Below are 21,829 nucleotides of genomic sequence, written 5' to 3'. Positions count from 1 at the left end.
ACAATCTAATTTGAAAGAAATATATTCTGGAATCACTTAAATCTATCAGAGGAAGAGAATTAGTGCAACTATATCATCTAGACTTTCAGAGTGCCTACATCCTATTAATGCCAAGTACTTTTATAAAATGCAAACTAGTTCCTTCCCTTTACTCTGTATTTATGTTAATGTGTACAATTTAAACTAAGACAACAACACACTTAAGCCAATAATCTTCATGTAAAACCAAAATGATTATGTAAAAAACAGCTACTGTAATGGCATATATCCCAAACTATTCTAGAGCTCCAGTTTTCCAGTTGATTTACTTATACTTTTTCTTTCAACTCTATAGAAGTGACAGCATCTGTACAGGGTTAAACAATTTCTGATCTCAATGTTTATCTAGGGGAATTTAAAAATCTCTTTGGAAATTTGGCTAAGAGACTGAGAGATAAACAGAAAACTGAAAGATGGGAAGAATAATACTGGTAATAATTAGCTGGATCTAAAAATGAGACTACTTAAAAAGATCTCTAATACTGCCCTAACTGTATAAGCATCACACAAAGGGGATAGGGATGCAGTGTAGAAAATTAACACTATCCCTGAGACAGGCTAATTTGGGCTCTGGTGTTATCTCTGTCCTTTGCCACTTCTATAACTTCAGGCAAGTTTCTCTATGTCTCTAGGATCATCAAAAAAATGGATTTAATAACCATATATACCTCTTTGGAATGTTGACGACTAAATAGGATAGTTTAAGACTTTAGGTGTAGCATGGTGCCTCAGAGCATAATAACTGCTCAATAATATTAGCTGTTATTATCATGTAGCAGCAAACTGTGTATAAAGGGGGCGCCTATAAATATTGTAGTTGAATTATAGCAATTGGCCATCGTCAAAACATTTGGAAAGGTAATATCAAAAAAAAGGAAATGAATCTTTTCATCTGCAAGTGTCACAGAAGGGACATGACTTCAATATAAATAAGAAATTGCTTTAATTAGCCAAGTAATTTAAATACTATGATAATGCTGGTTGTTAGGAGGCTAGTACAGACGGTCAGGGTTGGGATGGGTTGTGTGTGGATATGAAGGAGCAATGTGAGAAGTGGGACTGTGAAATAAACACCAACTTCTAAACTTTCAATATTTCCTGGCTATTTCACTTATTTTTGTAATGTATTCTTTTATTTCTTTGGACATTCAAATTTAAGTTTTTTTAAGAGAAAACAAATATACGTATTAACTTGTTAAAAAGTGTGATCCAAATCCCCCAACTGTAAAATGATGCATTGTCTTTACTGAATTTTCTCAATAATGTAAATTCCAGGATGCATGTGGCTTTTCTTATACCCATTCCATTTGCTACACCTAGTGAGATTTAATTACTGTGTCAGCAATCTACTTTATTGTTGCAGGAAGTCAGGGACTCTGAACGGAGGGACCAACTGGAGCTGCAGCAGAGGAACATAAATTGTGAAGATTTCATGGACATTCACCAGTTTCCAAATAATACTCTTATAATTTCTTACACCTGTCTTAATTTAATCTCTTAATCCTGTTATCTTTGTAAGCTGAGGATGTACATCACCTCAGGACCACTGTGATAATTGTGTTAACTGTACAAATTGATTGTAAAACATGTGTGTTTGAACAATATGAAATCAGTTCACCTTGAAAAAGAACAGAATAACAGCGATTTTCAGGGAACAAGGGAAGACAACCATAAGGTCTGACTGCCTGTGAGGTCGGGCAAAACAGAGCCATATTTTTCTTCGTGCAGACAGCCTATAAATGGACGTGTAAGTAGGGAAGATATTGATAAATTCTTTTCCTAGCAAGGAGTATTAATAATTAATACCGTGGGGAAGAATGCATTCCTGGCGGGAGGTCTATAAACAGTTGCTCTGGGAGTGCCGGTCTTAAGTGGTTGAGATAAGGACCAAAATACGCCCTGGTCTCCTGCAGTACCCTCAGGCTTACTAGGTTGGAGAAAAACCTCGCCCTGGTAAATTTGACATCAGATTGGTTCTCTGCTCTCAAACCCTGTTTTCTGTTGTTTAAGATGTTTATCAAGACAATATGTGCACAGCTGAACACAGACCCTTATCAGTAGTTCTGTTTTGCCTTGTCCTGTTTCCTCAGAAGCATGTGATCTTTGTTCTGCTTTTTGCCCTTTGAAGCATGTGATCTTGTGACCCACTCCCTGTACTTGCACCCCCTCCCATTTTGAAGTCCTTAATAAAACTTGCTGGTTTTGCGGCTCAGGTGGGTAGCACGGTCCTGCCGATATATGATGTCACCCCCGGAGTCCCAGCTGTAAAATTCCTCTCTTTGTACTCTTTCTCTTCATTTCTCAGCCAGCCGACACTTATGGAAAATAGAACCTACGTTGAAATAGTGGGGGTGGGTTCCCCCAATACTTTATGAACATGTAACTGCAAACCAATGCTTTGAGTGACAATGGAACAAGACTTCAAGTTGAAGAGCAAATTCAGATAAAGCCAAGTTTTTTCTATAGTATTTCATAGGAAAGTGACATGTATTCTACTAGCAAGGACAGGGTATGGGATGAAACATTTCCTTTCAGAAGAATTGAAATTTTTTTGTTGCAGTGTTGTAAACACACAAGGTTGTACCCCTTATAATAATCATATAATACTTTAATTATTTACCAGTTATGCTAGAAAGCTTGCAAATACCACATCTTCCAAATATAATATTGACAACTCACCATGGTGAAAATGGGTGCTAAGTCAGAAATAAGTTAATATTCTTTTGCTGAGCACATACTATATTAGCACTTATTTGGGGAAACTAAAAAGAATGAGAAACACAGGCCCAAGTTGAGATATTTTCCATCCAACTTCATGAAGGCAGCATATATTGTTAAGGATTCTGGGTTAGGCTTTGAATCCTACTTCTATAATTTGCTGGTTAGAAAACTTTAGGCAGGGTGCATAACCTCACTGAGAGTCTATTTACTTAGCTGTAAAATGACCAAGATATTATCAACTTCTGTATGTGGAGCTGTGGAGATGATCAGTCAGTATATTCCACCATAAACATAGTCATTCTCTTTATGTCCACAAAGCATTTGCCATTTAATGGCATAAAATATTTGAAAATATTTCTACACCATAATGGATTTGATCTTGTCACAAGTAAAATGTAAATTATCGGCACCATATGAAATAAAACATTTATAATTAACCTGGTTTCTAGTGCAAGACTGGGGAGTCTTGGGCAAACTATGTTCTTATAATGGCCCTAATACCATCCTCAACATAGTGAAATGAGCTGTGTTTCAGAAGAAAAACTTACCCACTTTGATGTCCCACTCTGAACTAAAAGCTTGGATTTGGTGAATACTTACAGAAGAAATTGAGGTGACCAGAGAGGTTTTTAAACTGCTTTGAACATAATTTTCCCTCTAATGGAAGAAACGGCCAGAGATAAAACTCAGACCTTCAAAAGTCACCTGCAAAATGATTTACTTATAGCAATGGCATAAATTATCTAATTATAATATAGAAATTTTACTTTAACTTTCTAGATAGAAAAGTTTCAGAAATTTCTTTTATGTTCATTTCTGTGGTCCACTGTCTAGTCTGAAAGTCTGCCAGAATCTCTCAGGCTTTTAAATTACAGAAATTATTTGAGACAGACATTTTGGAAGCTCACCATAGAAAGGGAAATTTATTAAGTTTTAGGCATTAAGTTAAGACTTGTATTTTACTTTCTCTATATATTTGAAACAGGTCAATTCCAGGTTGGAAAATTCCTGTCAGATATTCCCATTACAAAATATACCTAAAAAGTTTTCTCAAAGCTAAGGATTATTTATGTCACATATATTTTTGAAAAATTAGAAATATTTTGGTTATGTTACTTACACAGTTTAGCCTATTTTAATCATTTTTTTTCTTGTGCACATAACCAGGTGAAGCACTGAAATTCATCAATTATGTTATTCAACTATGATGTTAAATCATTAGAACTGGGGGCCAGGTGTGGCAGCTCATGCCTGTAATCCTAGCACTTTGGGAGGCAGGGGTCGGTGGATCACCTGAGGTCAGGAGTTCGAGACCAGCCTGGCCAACGTGGCAAAACCCTGTCTCTACTTAAAATACAAAAATTAGCTGGACGTGTTGGTGAGCACCTGCAATCCCAGCTACTTGGGAGGGTGAGGCGGGAGAATAGCTTTAACCTGGAGGGCGGAGGTTGCAGTGAGCTGAGATCACACGATTGTTCTCCAGCCTGGGTGAAAACAGCGAAACTCCATCTCAAAAAAAAAAAAAAATCAGAACTGGAAAGAAATTTCCGTTATAAGTAAATTTATAACACTATGATTCATAAAGTCTTTCATGTGAATGTTCATTCTCTTCCTAAAAATTTAAGTTAATTTAAGAAATCTCATTTTAGAGATGAAGAAAAAGTTTTATTAGTATTAAGATATTTACTTCTTCCAAGAACAATTAATAGAATAAATCTTCACTTAACATCCTCAATAGGTCCTTGGAGACTGCAGCTCTAAGTGAAAAGATGTATAACAAAACCAATTTTACAAAAAATAATTTATATTAACAAGAGTGAAGTTTCTAAGGCATATTTCTGGTCACAAGAACATCACCAAATTTCTTAAGATGAAATCACTTCCACTACTAAACACTGAAATAAACATGAGCTATACAGACATTTAAGAAAGATAAATCAAAGGAAGTAAGACGATGATTTACCAAGTTTTGGTGAATCAATGAGCAGAGGTTGTAGTGCTGGGGAATTAAATCAAAGAAATGTTTGCACCTCCTCTGACCACACAGTTAGTAAACAGGTAATTACAAAGAAGGGAGTTTGCAGAGCACTTTTTTACTGCATCCTTTATTGTCTTGCATTTTTATGATTATCATCTACTTGATGAAATTTTGACCATAATTTTTATTCATTCATTCATTCATTCATTCATTTTCCCACTCACTTATTGCAGGGTTGAGGGTGGCTGCAGCCTGTCCCCTCAGCTCAGGGCACAAGGCAGGAACCAGCCCTGGCCAGGCCACCGTCCTATCACAGAGCCACTCACACCCACACTCACTGGGACCATGTAGACACAGCAATTTCCTGAATCTTTGGGACATGACAGAAAACCAGAGGAACTGGAGAAAATCCACCTAGACAGTGGGAGAAAATGCCAACTCCACTGAGACAGTGGCTTTGGCAGGAAGGGATTGTTTTTCTCATCTGTTTTAATGAAAGGACTTTGAATGGAAGGAATTTATTTGGGGACCTGCTGTGTACTACTTTTAAAATACACTTTATTCTTCATGGTTTATAGAAAAATTGGGCAGAAAGTACAAGAATTCCCATATACCTCCTGTCCCGACACATACTCAAACTTCTCTACTATCAACATCACACATCAGAATGGTACATATGTTATAATCCATGAGCCTACATTGACATGTCATTATCAACCAAAGCCCATAATTTATATTAGGGTTACATTACTAACCCACATTTTTAATGGACTTAATGACAATGTATAAGGAAGGCATCCACTATTATATCATGAACGTTAGTTGTATTGCCCTAAAAACCTCTTTGTTCCACCTATTCATCTTTCCCTCCTTGAACCCTTGGCAACCAATGCTTTTTTTTTTTTTTTTTGAGACAGGGTCTTTCTCTGTTGCCCAGGCTGGAGTGTAGTGGTGCAACCTCTGCCTCCTGGGCTCAAGCAATCTTTTCACCTCAGATTCCCAAGTAACTGGGACTACAGGCACGCACTACCATGCCTAGGCTAATTTTTAGCTTTTTTTTTTTGTTAATTTTTTTTGTAGGGACGAGGTTTTCCTATGTTTCCCAGGCTGGTCTTGAACTGCTGGGCTCAAGCGATCTTCCTTCCTTAGCCTTCCAAAGTACTGGGATTACAGGCGTAAGCCACCTCACCCAGCCTCCACTGATCTCTTTACTGTCTTCATAATTTTTCCTTTTCTAGAATGTCATATAGTTGGAATCATATAGTGTAGAGTCTTTTCAGACTGGCTTCTTTCACTTAGTAACATACACTTATGTTTCTTCCCTGTCTTTTCATGGCTTCATAGCTCATTTATTTTTAACACTGTGAAATATTCCATTATCTGGATGTACCACAGTTTATCCATTCATCCACTGAAGGACATCTTGGTTCTTCCAAGTATTGGAAATTGTGAATACAGTTGCTATAAACATCTGTGTGCAGGTTTTTCTATGGACGTAAGTTTTCAATTCATTTGGGTAAATACCAAGGAGCATAACTGTTGAATCACATGGTAAGAATATGTTTAATTTTAAAAGAAACTGCCAAACAGTTCTCCAAATTACCTGCACCATTTTTGTATTCCCACCAGCAATGAAAGAACTTCTGTTGTTCCATACTCTCCAGCATTTAGTGTTAGTGATTTGGATTTTGGCCATTCTAATGGCTTTGCAGTGGCATCTTTTGTCTTAATTTGCATTTTTCATGATGACATGTGATATAGAACCTATTTTCATACGTTTATTTGCCATCTGTATATCTTCGGTGATGTGTCCATTCAGATCTTCGGCCCATTTTTAATGGATTTGATTTCTTATTGTTGAAATTAAAGAGTTCTTTGTATATTTTGGATAACAGTCCTTTATCAGATGTGTCTTTTGCAAATATTTTTCCTAGTCAGTGACTTGTCTTCTCATTCTCTAGACAGTGTCTTTCACAGAGAAGAAGTTTAATTTTAATGAAATCCAGCTTATCAATGATTTCTTTCATAAATCATGCTTTGGTGGTTCAAATTGCTTCATTATCGCTTGAGAAGCTCATTATCTCCAGGGAATTTTATTACCAGCCTTCTCGTTTTTATTCTGACTTTCCCCTCTGCGTTCTGAGAGAATTTGTGTGGCATGCCTTTACCTTCATTAATTCTCTTCAGGGTCAAATCTTCTCTTCATCTGCCTCCCTCATTATTTTTAAGTCAGCACCTGGGTTTTTTTTTTTAATCTGTCTGCACTCTTAACTCAGATTATTCCTTTTTATTAGAGTCTCATGGAAAATATTTTAATATATTTCTAAAACAGAAAGATATTTGGTAAATATTTCTTAATTTATATATTCAAGACAGAGAGGAATCCCTTGAATCTCCTGAAAGCATCACTTCTAATATAAAGAATGTTTTCATATCTGTTGTGATTTTTCTCTGCTTCTGTATTCCTTTCTAGAAGTCTCTAGCCTGGCCTAGAAAGGTTTTATAGTCTGGCAAGAATTGAATGAGTTAAAACCAAGATGATTATTACTAAAGCCCCAAATGTTTATTAGAGGGGGGCATCAGATCTAAATTTAAGGGTAAAAAACAAAGAATATCTAGTAATGTATAACTCATGCTAATTTGACAGAGTGAAGAGGGAAACAGACATCTAATCACTGGTAGACCCATGATCAGGAATCATGTCTCTGCATAAGCAGAGATGGTACCCTTAGGGAGAGGCTCATGGCTATGTTGAATGTGTCCATCATGAAGCCATTCACACTTCATCCATCTGCCTCAGTGTTCTTGTCCAAAGAGGACTGGAGTAGTGAAATGAACACTCTTGACTAGCCGTTCAACACCCAGTGGGCTTCTATTTCTTAGAAAACGCAATTTTTTCCTCTCACATTAAGCAGCTGTCTGTGGGATTCCACCAGGGCATCTGTCCTCTTTGCTTCAGGAAAAAACCAAAACCAACCAACCAAACGAAATTCCGTTTCTCTCAGGATGATAATTATATGATACTCTTCAATTCTGCTTTTCAGGAGAGACTCATCAAGAATACATTTAGCAGAAATACTTTAGAGCTCTAAGATGTACCTGATACTCATTCTCTTTTTAATTACTAATCAGTATTTTACCTATTTATATATTGTTTTCTATTTCATAGTACATTCCTTTGCTGACACTACCATCTTGCCAATAAATCCAGATTTTAACTAGTTTTTAAAATTTGTATAACATAAAGTTAAATGCTTATTTTATGGGAGAGTTATATTGTTGAATTCTAAGTAGAATATTAGAGAAAGGTATTGTGGATAAAAAACTTTAGGTTAGAAGCATACGTAGAAAAGATATTGTGTCCTTAAAAGCAGAGAGATAAATAAAAAGAAAGACAGAGAACAAACGTAATTCAAGATGACTGATTACATATCCAAGAACATTAGATGGTCAAAGACTTTAAGAAGGAATACATTCAAAGGCAAAAAGTCACTTACTGATTTTGGTGGAGTTTGCCACATGGACAGCAGTTTCCAATAGAAACCAAATCAGTGTTTTCCCAAGGCGCAAATGAGAAAAGGCTTTACTCTTTCAGGACTAATATTATTGTCATCTCCCAATGAAACTGGCAGTTCAGAATAAGATCAATTAGTGCAAATAACTACAATCACAAGGCTTAGAAATTAGAAGTGTCCTAGCCCACAGCAGAATTATACTCTAAGGCAGTATGTATAATTTACTGCAATTGATTCTGTTTATAATCTTTTCACTCAAATTCCCACACACCATGTTTCAGATATAGTTTTTGACTTAGTGAGTTCAAGATGTAGGAGGATTATTGTGAGAGAAGATAGAGAAAAGCTCAGACACACTTTTTTTTTTTTTTTTTTTGGCTAAAGAACTTTCCTATTTAATACCACTGAATGACAGTAGATAATGAACCCCAAGTAGAATAGCACCGTAGTGCACGTACTTGTTGACTACCCTTAAAACACCCTAACAGTGTTGTCTTTTAATCACAGGTTTTAGTAATTTTAATAACATTTATGCCTCCTTTCTGAATCCTTCCCAAATAGGCCAAGCTCTTAAACTGTAAGCGAAGACTGTACACTTATCTCGATTTGTCCTTAGCTATATGCAATGAGATCAACTCTCAAATATCAGTGAAATGACATCAAAAGAAGGGTAAAGTCATGAATTTAAATACTGTACTCAGGAACTAATTCCATTATGCTAAAGGAAAGAAATCTTTTACATAAAAGGACGAAAGAAACAATATTCAATTATCAATGGCCCTCTGAGTGAGCAATTAACAGTGGAACAACTGACAATCATACTCTCCATCACAACATGGAGATGTACATGCCCATGGAGGAAAATCAGAAAAAGAAAAAACTGAATTATACTAAGATGACTTGATTTTTAAAAGCAAAACAATAGCAACAACAAAAACAGGAATTAAAGAAAATCTCAAAGAACCTTTTCCTTAATCTACTGTTCAGACAAATGCAAAAGATTATTTGAGACATTCTCTAAGTTGGATAGCTACTATATGACTTAAGACAAGACTGAATGTCTCCTAACTCAAATATTAAGGATAAAAACCATTTTAAGATCCTTACAAGCTTAATTATAAATGCTTTATTAAATTTAACTTTAAAAATAAGCTAAGAACTATTTCTAATTTTATATAAGCATTTTTTTCCTACATTGGGCACTCATCTTTGACTTTAAAATTAGGTTTTTACAATTTCAAAATACCAGATTAACTTACATTAGGTTCTAAGGTATAGAAAGTCATGTAATTGCTTTGAGTATTAAGGTTCTGTGCAATAATTAAAAAATAACTGCTTCAGTGCCAAAGAAATTCACAAGGTAATTTTCCAGTGATTTCCTCTTGATGTAGAATTCTTAGATGTATTGAAATTGTTCCAAAGAAATGTGTCTGCTACAGTTAGGCCCTGGCAGAAAAGATGCTGCCTTTAGGAGAAAAACAACCTTTAACATACATGTTTCAAAATAATAGTGAGGTCATTACAGTTTGTTTCAGTAAAAATAATCTAGCACAATCTGACTACTTATAACATAAAGCATTGTTCCCAGGAAGAAAAAGCGGGATATATTGAGTTTAAAAATTCGGAAGTTCCCTCAGACAAAAATGTTGAATTTGAGTTTTAACATTTGAATTTGAGTTTCAAACACTTGGATTAAATTAATTTCAATGTTTATTCCCTGAGTATATCACGATGAACTAGGGACCGCTAAGTTGATTGTGACAGAAAATGAGGAAATGCCTGTTGACTTTGAAGACACCTTGAACCTAAAGTAGACTCGAGAGAAAAATCAACCAAGTCAGCAACTAAGTCATTTAAGAGAAAAAGATAGGGTTGCACTGCAGAGAAGTAACTAATTCATAAAGTACCTTTATGTTTGATGTTTAATTCCAAAATGCTATGGGTTATTTTAAGCATCTTTTGATGAAAGGTGTTTGCAGATAAAAGTTTTACAGGAACTTGTCTTCCTCATCTGAAAATTAAGCCTTTTATAATTCAGTATGGGAAATAGTAAATGCAGTTTTATGGAGCAAAACTTTGATCACATTTTATTAAATATAAGGTGTATTTTTAAAAAGCATTTTAACATCTCAAATCAATTTGCATTTTTTAAAATCAATAATGTTTGTTGATCATTGTTGGTATAGACTGAGATCATTTTAAGTGAAAATTTCTTCATGAGATTGTGGACCACATTGGTGGTTTGAATTCAGAATACAAATCTGCTGGTGGTTCAAAATCTTTTTTAACCTCTCCCTACTTTGTGCTAAATTTGAGACATGTAAGTTTCCCTGCTGTTTTCCACATGGCAGTTACATTTACTTCTATCCTTACACTAAGAGTGTAGTCTTATTGTGTCCCATGTTGGGCATTTTTGCTTTTAGAGAGTTACACAAAATAATGATACATTTGGCAATGGAAAATTTCTTAAATTCTCTCTAAAGCAGACATTTGTATTAGAAGTCTTTGACCAGGCACAGTGGCTCATGCCTGTAATCCCAGCAATTTGGGAGCCAAGGCAGGTGGATCACGAGGTCAGGAGTTCAAGACCATCCTGGCCAACATAGTGAAACTCTGTCTCTACTAAAAATACAAAAATTAGCTGGGCATGGTGGCAGGTGCCTGTAATCCCACCTACTTGGGAGGCTGAGGCAAGAGAATCGCTTGAACCTGGGAGGAAGAGGTTGCAGTGAGCCAAGATCACACCATTGCACTCCAGCCTGGGAGACAGAGCAAGACTCCATCTCAAACAAAAAAAAAGTCTTCAAGGATTCCAAGAAGTTATCAGTCATGACCATGTTTTGGACAGGAAAGAAGAGCCATTATGTGCCTCACAAAGGTGTGGTCTCTCAGGCATTAGACACTGGCTGTAAATAAATGATACATCAATTTGCTTTACAGACAGTAAAAGTTTTAACAGTATCATACATTTTGGTTAAAAATTAAAGTCCCATATCTCCAACTGAAAAATTAAAGCTAACTGATATACTGAGGTAACTTAAAGTTTATTAGATATAAAAGACTGATATATTAGGATGATACAACATATCTAAATATTGAATAACTTTATTTTAACACATATATTTGTTTCAGGTGTCAAACAGATCACTAGATAGAAAGCATCATGAAAGCAAAGGTTTTTCTCTGCACTGTTTCCTATTATGCCTAGATTCACAACATTGCTTGGCACATAATAGGGATCCAAGAAATATTTGTTGAATCCATGAATGAATGGAGTTGCATCCAGTCATGCACAGCTATTTATATGTGTATAACCATATGGTTATTCCTGAATTATCAAGTGCTCAGGGCTTGGATTCATCCTTGTTTCATTCTTGGAGTAATTTAATAAGACTACCAACCAGTAAGCAGAACCATCCAGCTGGCAGTCATTAGTCACTCGCTATTTGCTCTATTGAAACACACTCTAGTTAAACAGACTCTGGATCTTACCTGGAAGAATCAGTTATCATGGTAACCAGTAAACCATTTTGGCTAATTTGCCATGCTCCAGTTGACTAGACTCACTATGGCTTGATTAAGTCTGAGGCTGTTAGAGTACAGTTTGATAGACTCTTACTAAATAACATCTTACAGGCACTTTAGGAATCTTTTTCCTAAGTCCAAAAGTTTCTTCATCTGTAAAACTGTAGTCAAGGAATGCTGCTAAAGAAATGTGCAAGCGCACTAATGATCAAATAGGCAAGTAAACCTCTATGGGAAGGAAATAAGAACATTATATGTATGGTTTTGGAAAGATGTGATGTTACAGCATATTCTGGGGTACTCAGAAATGAGTATAAATTGCTTGGCTATAGTAGTGTAATCATCCTGGTTGTAGAGAAGCGACGAACTGATGACAGAAGGTAAGCCAAGCTGTATGAGTTTTCCCTTTATATTCTCTTTAATGCAGGTGAATGAAAAAGATAATTTAACTTAATGGTGCCTTGCAGCACTAATTATTTGGTAATAATCAAAAGGCTTCATGATCTGAAAAAGTTGTTTCAGTACAGCCCATTAAACAATATGAAGAGCCACTAGACCATTCTATTACCTTCCTGCCACTCAGGTATTCATTTGCCAGATGCTTTCTCATTAAGAGCACATAAAATGAGAATAGCATAAACTGCACAATCAGGTGAGTTTATTAGGTCCAATTATGACACCGGTAATAAACATTATCTTTTAAAAATAATTTTGACCACAACATAATAATTTTCCCATGTTTATGTTGAGACTATTCTATGCCACTAGAAAAAATTCCTCTGATTTTAATTTATGATGTGATTCATAGTGATGACGGACTCCTCTAATTTAGCCTAGCTAAAATAACAGCATATATTTTTATTCTTCCCAATACGTATAAAGTTATTTAAAATTCATGCTAAGTAATTTGTAGTAAATCAGTCTCCTGATGGAAAATTTTACTCTGCAATTACTCAGTTGCAAACTTATGTTTTTACGGATCAAAACAGGAGTCTTCTAAATGTCTGTAAACCAGAAAAACAGAGAGAGAGACACAGAGAGGCAAAAGAAGAAAAAAAGGAGAAGGTAGAGGAAGAGGAAAAGGGGAGGAAGATGAGGAGGAGGAGAAACAGAAAATAAAGAGAAGAGAACAAAATAAAGAATTGAAGCCATTGCCCAAATACATTCTTTTTATTTTCTCCCTTTACTAACAGTTTACACCTGAAAAATTGGTTTTGAACTTGTTCTACACTTGCTATAAAAGAGTAAATTCTCTTTCCCTTGGCTTCTCTGGCCAAGGGAATTGGTGGCTCAGAATTATTATTAAGAGAATAGCATCCTTTCTGCTCACTGTTGGAAGTTATTTCTGAAGCAAAAGCTTTAACAGCTCTGTACTGGTGCAAAAGTAAATTGTCAGACTGGAAAACAGATATCAGTACCACCACATAGGAGTATAATAGACTAAATTTTAAGAATTAAATGCCTGCGAACCAACTTTTTGCCATGTCTATACAAGATCTACCATCTTGGTTTAAACATAGAGTTAGCTTCTTTGCAAAATAGTGCACTTTAAGGCAGGAAAGCTTCCCAAATTCTGAAAATGAATTTAATATCGTAGGGAGATAACATTAACAGGCAGTCGTTGTGTAGAGGCTATGATCTAGTCTGCATAGTTTCAAAACCTGACTCTGCCACCATGGGCAATTCCTTTAGTCTATGAGTGTCAGTTTACCTATCTCTGCAATGAAAATAGCAGTTGGCCATTTGTATATATTCTTTGGAGAAATGTCTTTTCAGATACTTTGCCCAATTTTTATAGTTATCTGTTTCTTTATTATTGAGTTGTAATAGTTGTTTATATATTCTAGATAAAAGTCACTCGTCAAATAATTCGTCAAAATTCTCTGCCACATAGAATGGTGATGATTACATGATTTATGACCTGCAAAGTGCTCAGAAGTAGGCTTGGTATATGGTACATGCTAAAGTTATTATTATGAAGCTTGGACCAGGTTCTCTTAGCAACCTAAAAGCTATTAAATGCTTCTCTCCTGGCTGCTAAACAATTTTTGTCCATTAAAGAATGATTGATATTTCACAGAATCCAGGGGTCTTATGACTTGCTCAAAAGTAAGTAAAGAAAGAAAACAATTATAAGATGTGATGCCTGTTCCATCACCAGAAGCACTTATTTTTCATCTTCACAACTTTGCTATAATCACCACATATCCATACTATAGTTTCATACAGTATTTTTTTATACGTAGTTTAGTAAATTTTAAAATAAAATTGTATATTATTTTAATGTTTTAATTTGATTATATATACAAATCTTTTATTTTTGCTATCTTTTAATTTGATATACATTGAATGTCTTCATTTTTTCTTTTTTTTCTTTTTTTTTCCTTTATGATTAAAACTCTTAGCAAAATTGGCACACAAGGGACGTAACTCAATGTAATAAAAGCCATCTATGACAAACTCACAGCTAACGTAATACTGAATGGGGAAAAGTAGAACGTATTCCCTCTGAGGACTGGAAAAAGACAAGGATGCCCACTCTCACCACTCCTCTTTAATATAGTACTGGAAGTCCTAGCCGGAGAAATCAGACAAGACAAAGAAATAAAAGGCATCCAAATTGTTTAAGAGGAAGTCAAACCCTCACTGTTTGCTGATGATATGATCGCTCACTTCAAAAACCTAAAGACTCCACCAGAAAGCCCCTAGAACTGATAAAAGAATTCAGTAAAGTTTCTGGATACAAAATTAATGTACACAAATTAACTCTCCTATACACCAACAGTGACCAAGCAGAGAATCAAGTCAAGAACTTAACCATTTTTACAATAGCTGCAAAAACAAACAAACAAACAAACAAAACACTTAGGAATATACCTAAACAAGGAGGCGAAAGACCTCTACAAGAAAAACTACAAAACAATGCTGAAAGAAATCACAGACAACACAAAGGGAAACACATCCCATGCTCACGGATGGGTAGAGTCAGTACTGTGAAAATGACCATACTGCCAAAGGCAATCTACACATTCAATGCAATCCCCATCAAAATACCACCATCATTCTTCACAGAATTAGAAAACACAATTCTAAAATTCATATGGAAGTTAAAAAGATCCTGCACAGCCAAAGCAAAACTAAGCAAAAAGAATAAATCTGGAGGCATCACACTACCTGATTTCAAACTATACTATAAGGCCATACTCACCAAAACAGGGTGATGCTGGTATAAAAACAGGCACATAGACCAATGGAACAGAATAGAGAACCCAGAAATAAACCCAAATACTTACAGCCAACTGATCTTTGACAAAGCAAACAAAAACAAAGTGGGGGAAACGACACCCTTTTCAACAAATGGTGCTGGGATAATTGTCTAACCACATGTAGGAGAATGAAACTGGATCCTCATCTCTCATCTTACACAAAAATCAACTCAAGATGGATTACGGACTTAAATCTAAGACCTGAAGCTATAACAACTCTAGAAAATAATATTGGAAAAACCCTTCTAGACATTGGCTTAGTCAAGGATTTTATGACCAAGAACCCAAAAGCAAATGGAATAAAACCAGAGATAAATAGCTGGGACATAATTAAAGAGTTTTGCACGGCAAAAGGAACAGTCAGCAGAGTAGACAGACAACCCACAGAGTGGGAGAAAATCTTCACAATCTATACATATGACAAAGGACCATGTCCAGAATCTACAACAAACTTAAATCAGCGATAAAAAAACAAGCAATCCCATAGAAAACTGGGCTAATAACATGAATAGGTAATTCTCAAAAGAAGATTTACAAATGGCCAACAAATATACGAAAAAAATGCTCAACATCACTAACAATCAGGGAACTGCAAATCAAAACGACAATGCGATACCAACTTACTCCACAAGAATGGCCATAATCAAAAAAATCAAAAAGCAGTAGATGTTGGTGTGGATGCAGAGATCAGGGAACACTTCTACACTCCTGTTGGGAATGTAAACTAGTACAGCCACTGTGGAAAACAGTGTGGAGATTCCTTAAAGACCTAAAAGTAGAACTACCATTTGATCCAGCAGTCCCACTAATGGGTATCTACTCAGAGGAAAATAAGTTATTACATGAAAAAGATACTTGCACATGCATGTTTATAGCTGCACAATTAGCAATTGCAAAATTCTGGAACCAACCCAAATGCCCATCAATCAATGAGTGGATAAAGAAACTGTGGTATGTGTGTATGTATGTATGTATGTATGTATGTATACACACACACACACACACATACACACACACACACACACACACAAATGGAATACTACTTAGCCATAAAAGGGAATGAATTAATGGCACTCGCATTGACCGGGATGAGATTGGAGATTATTATTCTAAGTGAGGTAATTTAGGAATGGAAAAATCAAACATCATATCTTCTCACTGATATGTGAAAGCTAAACTATGAGGACACCAAAGACATAAAAATGATACAATGGATTTTGGAGACTCGCAGAGAAGGGTGGGAGGGTGGCGAGGAAAAAAAGACTACAAATAGGGTGCAGTGTATACTGCTTGGGCGATGGCTGCACCAAAATCTCACAAATCACCACTAAAGAATGTACTCACATAACCAAACACCACCTGTACCCTAATAACCTACGGAAAAATAAAAAATATTATCAAATAAAGCAGGATTCTTGCTTTATTTTTCTAATTATTGCTTTATTTTATTGGTTAAAGTGTAAAAAAAATTAATGTCAAAAAAAAAGAAGAGTTTCTTCAAATCACAGTTAAGCAAGAATACTGACAGTTATGAACAGGAATGAAAGCATCCAAAACAACTTCTATTGTCACTTTAGAAGACAAAAACTTCCTGAACTAGACAGTCAACACCATTATTGGATATAAACTAATATTAATTCAGTGAAAAATTTGTTGATAGTTTAATGCTAAGTCCAGTAAATATCATAGTGATGAAGCTTTGTCATGTCACTTTTGTCATATTTGCAGGACTTTAAAAAAATCAAGGCATAAACTTGGGTCATAAGGCTAGGAGTATAGATACTTTAACTGCTAAAGGACTGTCAAATTCAGAACATTTGGGGAGATCATAAAAGGGGGTTAACTATCTCAACAGGTCTTTAATAAAAATGAACCTGGTCTATTTGGTGAAAAGATTAACTTAAACCTCTTTTAGTCTTCTTGGTCTTAGGGAACTAGTGGATTTAGAATGGCCTTTCAAAAGTAGAGGAGCTTACATATTAATACTTTGCCACCTGTAAAGCTAAAATCCAAGACAGCTTTTTCAATATAACTTAGAAAGAACTGGCCTTTTGTCCTTGCAAAGATAAACTGATGGTTCTTCCCTAGTGAAGATTGGTTTTTAGTCCCCAGTTACTCATCATTCTGAACTCTATGAAAAATTAGTTCATTTATCTTGAAAAGTCGGGAGGAGGAGCATGCACTCGAACTTTTAAAATTGGATCTCAGGTGGAAGAATCAGATTATAGATTCATCTTAATCATTGGTACATAACACATTCATCGTTGGTCCATACATAGCCTGCTTTTATTTAACACGTTTTTTATAATAATGAAATAAGCACTGGCTGGGCTCAGTGGCTTCCACCTGTATGGCCAGCACTTTGGGAGGCCGAGGTGGGTGGATCACTTGAGCTCAGGAGTTTGAGACCAGCCTGCGCAACATGGTGAAACCTCATCTCTACAAAAAGTACAACAATTATCCAAGTGTGGTAGCATGCTCCTGTAGTCGCAGCTATTCGGGAGACTGAGGTGGGAGGATTGTTTGAGCCTGAGAGGTCGAGGGTGCAGTGAGCTGTGAGCACGTCACTGTACCTCAGCATGGGCCACAGAGTAAGACCTTGTCTTAAAAAGAAAAAAAAGAAAGAAGCATATGTAAGCACTTTATAAACTAAAGTTAGGGCCTTGACCTTTAACCTACATTTTCTTATATGACTTTAACCCATCTCGTCACCTTCCTTCCTCTCACTAGACATAACCATCATCCTAAATTCCTTCATTTCCTCATTTCATTGCTTTCCTGTTGATATAATGTTAACGCATCTAGATGTGTTCCTAAAGAGTATGTTTTGAATTATTTGGCCTTTTTAACTTTATACAAAGTACATTATGTTGCATGTGTTTATCTGAAACTTTAAAAATATTCAATATTGTATTAAGATTCATTCATCATTGGAGTACTAATTATTATTCAATTAGTAATTATCTAATTAATTAATTAGTAATTATCTAATTAATTTATTAGATAATTATTAGATAATTAATCTAATTTATTAATAATTAATTATCTAATAAATTATTTTATTTTAGATTAGATAATCTAATTTATTAGATTATCTAATTTATCTATTTTATTTTAAATTATTAGATATTTTATTTTATTAGATTATTATTTATCTAATAAATTATTTTATTTTGTGAATGCAATGCTGTTTATATATTAATTTTCCTATGGATAGGCTTTTGAATTATTACCAGGTTTTTGCTATTATGAACACTGCTATGAACACTGTAATACATTTTTCTCGTAGCGTATGTGCAGAAAAGTTCTCATGATTGCGTAATTACTGGTTCATACAGTATATAAATGTGAATCCATACTATTTCCAAAACTTGGTATGGTTATGACTTTTTAACTTTTCACTATGAAAGTGTTATGAAATAGTTTTGCATCATGGTCTTGATTTGTATTTTACCAATCACATATGATTATTGGCCATATGTTTTTCTCTTCAGAAAAGTCTACTTTTCTATTTGTTTTTGTTTTTTTAAATATATATATATTTTTATTATACTTTAAGTTCTAGGGTACTTGTGCACAACGTTCAGGTTTGTTACATATGTATACACGTGCCATGTTGGTGTGCTGCACCCATTAACTCGTCATTTACTTTAGGTGTATCTCCTAATGCTAACCCTCCCCCCTCCCCCCACCTCACAACAGGCCCCAGTGTGTGATCTTCCCCTTCCTGTGTCCATGTGTTCTCATTGTTCAATTCCCACCTATGAGTGAGAACACGCAGTGTTTGGTTTTTTATCCTTGCGATAGTTTGCTGAGAATGATGGTTTCTGCTTTTCTTGATAATTTATAGAGTTCATTTGCTAGTTTCTGTAACATGAGTATCTTCTGTACACTTGGAATTGTCTTTATTTTCATAAAGGTGCCCTTTGATGAATAAGTGTTCTTAATATTTTTTTATTCAAGTCAATGCTTTTGGTATTTTATTTAAGAAATAGTTCTCTATTACAAGATCTGAACTATATACAACAAAATGTTTTAAAGCGTTTTCAAGTTGTCGTTGAGTTTTTTTCCTCCTCCTCTTCTCCTTCTCTGTTTGAATTTGTCTTAATCTAATCCATCCAAAATTATTTTTAATGTGGTGGGATAGGAATCTGATTTTGTCTTTATCCATATGAATGACTACTCTTTTTCATTTATTGAATTTTCATTTAATAAAAAGTCCTTTTTTCCCTACCTCTGTCTACATCAAAGTTCCATAAGTGAATGAATATTTCTAGGCTTTCTAGCTCACGAATAATTTTTTTTCTACCCTAATATCACTCTTTATTAATTAGTTTAACTTCGTAACAGCTCCTAGTCACTGATCGTGGAAGCCCTCCTCTCTTTTCTTATTCTTCCATAGTGTCTTGGCTATTATTATCTCTTTACGTTTCCAAATACATTTTAAATTGGTCTTTTATTTTTTCTATTTAATTTGCTTTTATTTTTCCTTCCAGTCAAGAGGTTCAGAAACTAAAGGCCAAATTGGTGTAAAACTTTCTCAACAGGTTCCGCCTGCCCATTGCACAAACAAAATCAATTCACAGAGACCACAGCATTGCAGTAAAGAAAGGGTTTAAGTCACATGAGGCCAGTCATGCCAGGAGGGATACAGATTTATTACTCAAATCAATCTCATTGAAGGCTGTGAAGTTAGAGGTTTTTCAAAGCTAGTGTGAGGAAAGGAGTGAGGATGGCTAGGCAATGATTGCTGCTTGCTGCTGATTGGTTGGGGGTACAATCATGGGGTGTGGGAAATGATCCTCCTACACATTGAATTATTCTGGGTAGGGCCACCGGAGTGGTTGGTAGGTCCTGGTGGAGTCATTGGTCATTAGACAAGCAAAAAATCTGCAAAGGTCTTTCAGAAGGTCAGTGTTATCTTCTACAGTAGTGGATGTTATCTGCAGGAATAAATGGGGAAGCTACACTTTAGCAGAATTCAGTCTCCTCTATCCTCCTAGCCTGGTGGTCTCTCATTAGCTTTATGAAAATGGCTGAGTTTTGGGGAAGGGCTTTTATCATTTAAAACGTAAGTATCTCCCGTAGTTACCTTGGCCTAAGGCCAGGAATAATTAAGGGCAGCTTGAAGGCCAAAAGCAAGAGAGGGTTTGGCTGGATCAGATCTCCTAAACTGATGTAATTTTCTCACTGATAGAATTTTTGCAAAGGTGGTCTCATTGGCTAGAAGCCTATTTTTTATAGCCAGAGGCTAAGAATGGTTTTTACATTGCAAATAGTTAAAAAAAAGTATATGTATACATATACACAAATGCATATATATGTGTGCCTCTGTATGTTATGTATATACACATATATACATGTCTATAGGTATGTACACATATATACATGTATACATAGGTGTGTATACATAGGTGTGTATACATATACGTGTATACATAGGTGTGTATGTGTATATATACATAAATATACACACACATATACATACATATACATGATGGAGCACCAGAAAACCAACCATAGCTCCTCAATCTATAAAACCAATCTACATGTTAGGGCTTTTCTCTTGCCTCCCGAAACAAAACCACATTAGAAGCTTCCTAGATTATGATCCACCAGTCCTGGGGTTTTGGGGGAGGAGGAATAGGAGGACAAATGCCAGAGGTCACTTGGTATGTGTTTACTTTTCTAGGATCTCCATACCCAAGTGTCTACTCAATGCAATGGTAGGGATAAGCAAACTTTAATAGTGCCTTTGCTACTATCCTGCCCTTTGAGGCTGGCTCCTGGCCCAGGTCAAAGTCATCATCTTCCCCAAAGATCTCAAAACATCTTGTACCCTCCAACCCCTAAGATTCCCCATGGTTTTCTTGGTCTTTTGCCTCTAATTCCTCTAGAATTCATTTTGGAGGGGAGAGCCTGTTACATCTGCTAGATATGTATTATAAAATTTTAAACTGATATACTTTACGTGAACTTGGAAATTATGCCTCAAAAGGTAATATTCAGAATAAAATATACATGCAAGGAAATGGACATGTTTATATAAATCATTGATTAAATCATATCCCAGCAAGTTTACTATATAAGCTTCCACACTTTACCTACTTTGCTGCAAGACTTGTGCAGTCCAGTTTATTAGGTCCTGATTAAAATGATTTCAGTTACATAATACCTACATAGTAAGGGCTCCATCTGAGTCAGTAATATTTGACGGATTTCACAAGTCAAGGGGAACTATAAAATAGAAAATGAGCAGCAGCTAGCCAGAGAAACTTCTGTTCCTGATGGAAGACAGAATTGAAACAAATAGCGAGCTGGAAACTAGTTGGAACATTAATACGTGACAGAAACCCTGGCAAAGCAAAATAGATTCCTTTAGCTAAATCAAATCTGTGCATAACCTATTGGTCTACGTCTGTTAACAGTCACTCTATTCCTGAGAATGTTGGTGGCAGCAAATTTATACACTTCTGCAGCAACCTCGATGCTTGCCTCCTCAAAGGAAAGAATTCAACTGAGGGGCATAAGGCTGAAGCAGGGCAGGTTTTACAGTAGGAGTGAAAGTTTATTAAGAAGCTTTAGATCAGGAATAAAATGGAGTAAAGTACACTTGGAAGAGGGCCAAGGGGGTGACTTGAGAGATCAAGTGTGTGGTTTGACTTTTTGACTTGGGATTTTATATGCTGTCATGCTTCCGGGGTCTTGTGTCCCTTCTCCCTTGATTCTTCCCTTGGGGTGGGCTGTCCACATGTGCAGTGGCCTGCCAGCACTTGGGAGGGGAG

At 35.6% G+C, this 21,829-nt stretch overlaps 1 protein-coding gene and 1 long non-coding RNA gene across 5 annotated transcripts in view; one reads left to right on the top strand and one right to left on the bottom strand.

Moving 5' to 3' along the window:
• The window catches only part of LOC124902060 (uncharacterized), a 32,974-nt gene extending 30,723 nt beyond the window's left edge, over positions 1-2,251 (top strand). Inside the window, exon 3 of the long non-coding RNA XR_007061173.1 lies at positions 1,403-2,251. This is a non-coding gene — a long non-coding RNA (uncharacterized LOC124902060). The remainder of the gene's footprint in view (positions 1-1,402) is intronic.
• Positions 1-21,829, bottom strand: part of TUSC3 (tumor suppressor candidate 3) — a 434,904-nt gene that overhangs the window by 376,185 nt on the left and 36,890 nt on the right. The window lies entirely within an intron of this gene.

The sequence above is a fragment of the Homo sapiens genome, chromosome 8 (genome assembly GCF_000001405.40).
Source record: "Homo sapiens chromosome 8, GRCh38.p14 Primary Assembly".
In the NCBI taxonomy this organism is placed as follows: Eukaryota; Metazoa; Chordata; class Mammalia; order Primates; family Hominidae; genus Homo; species Homo sapiens.
Note: the sequence above shows the minus strand (reverse complement) of the source record. Positions and strands in the feature narration are given on the sequence as shown.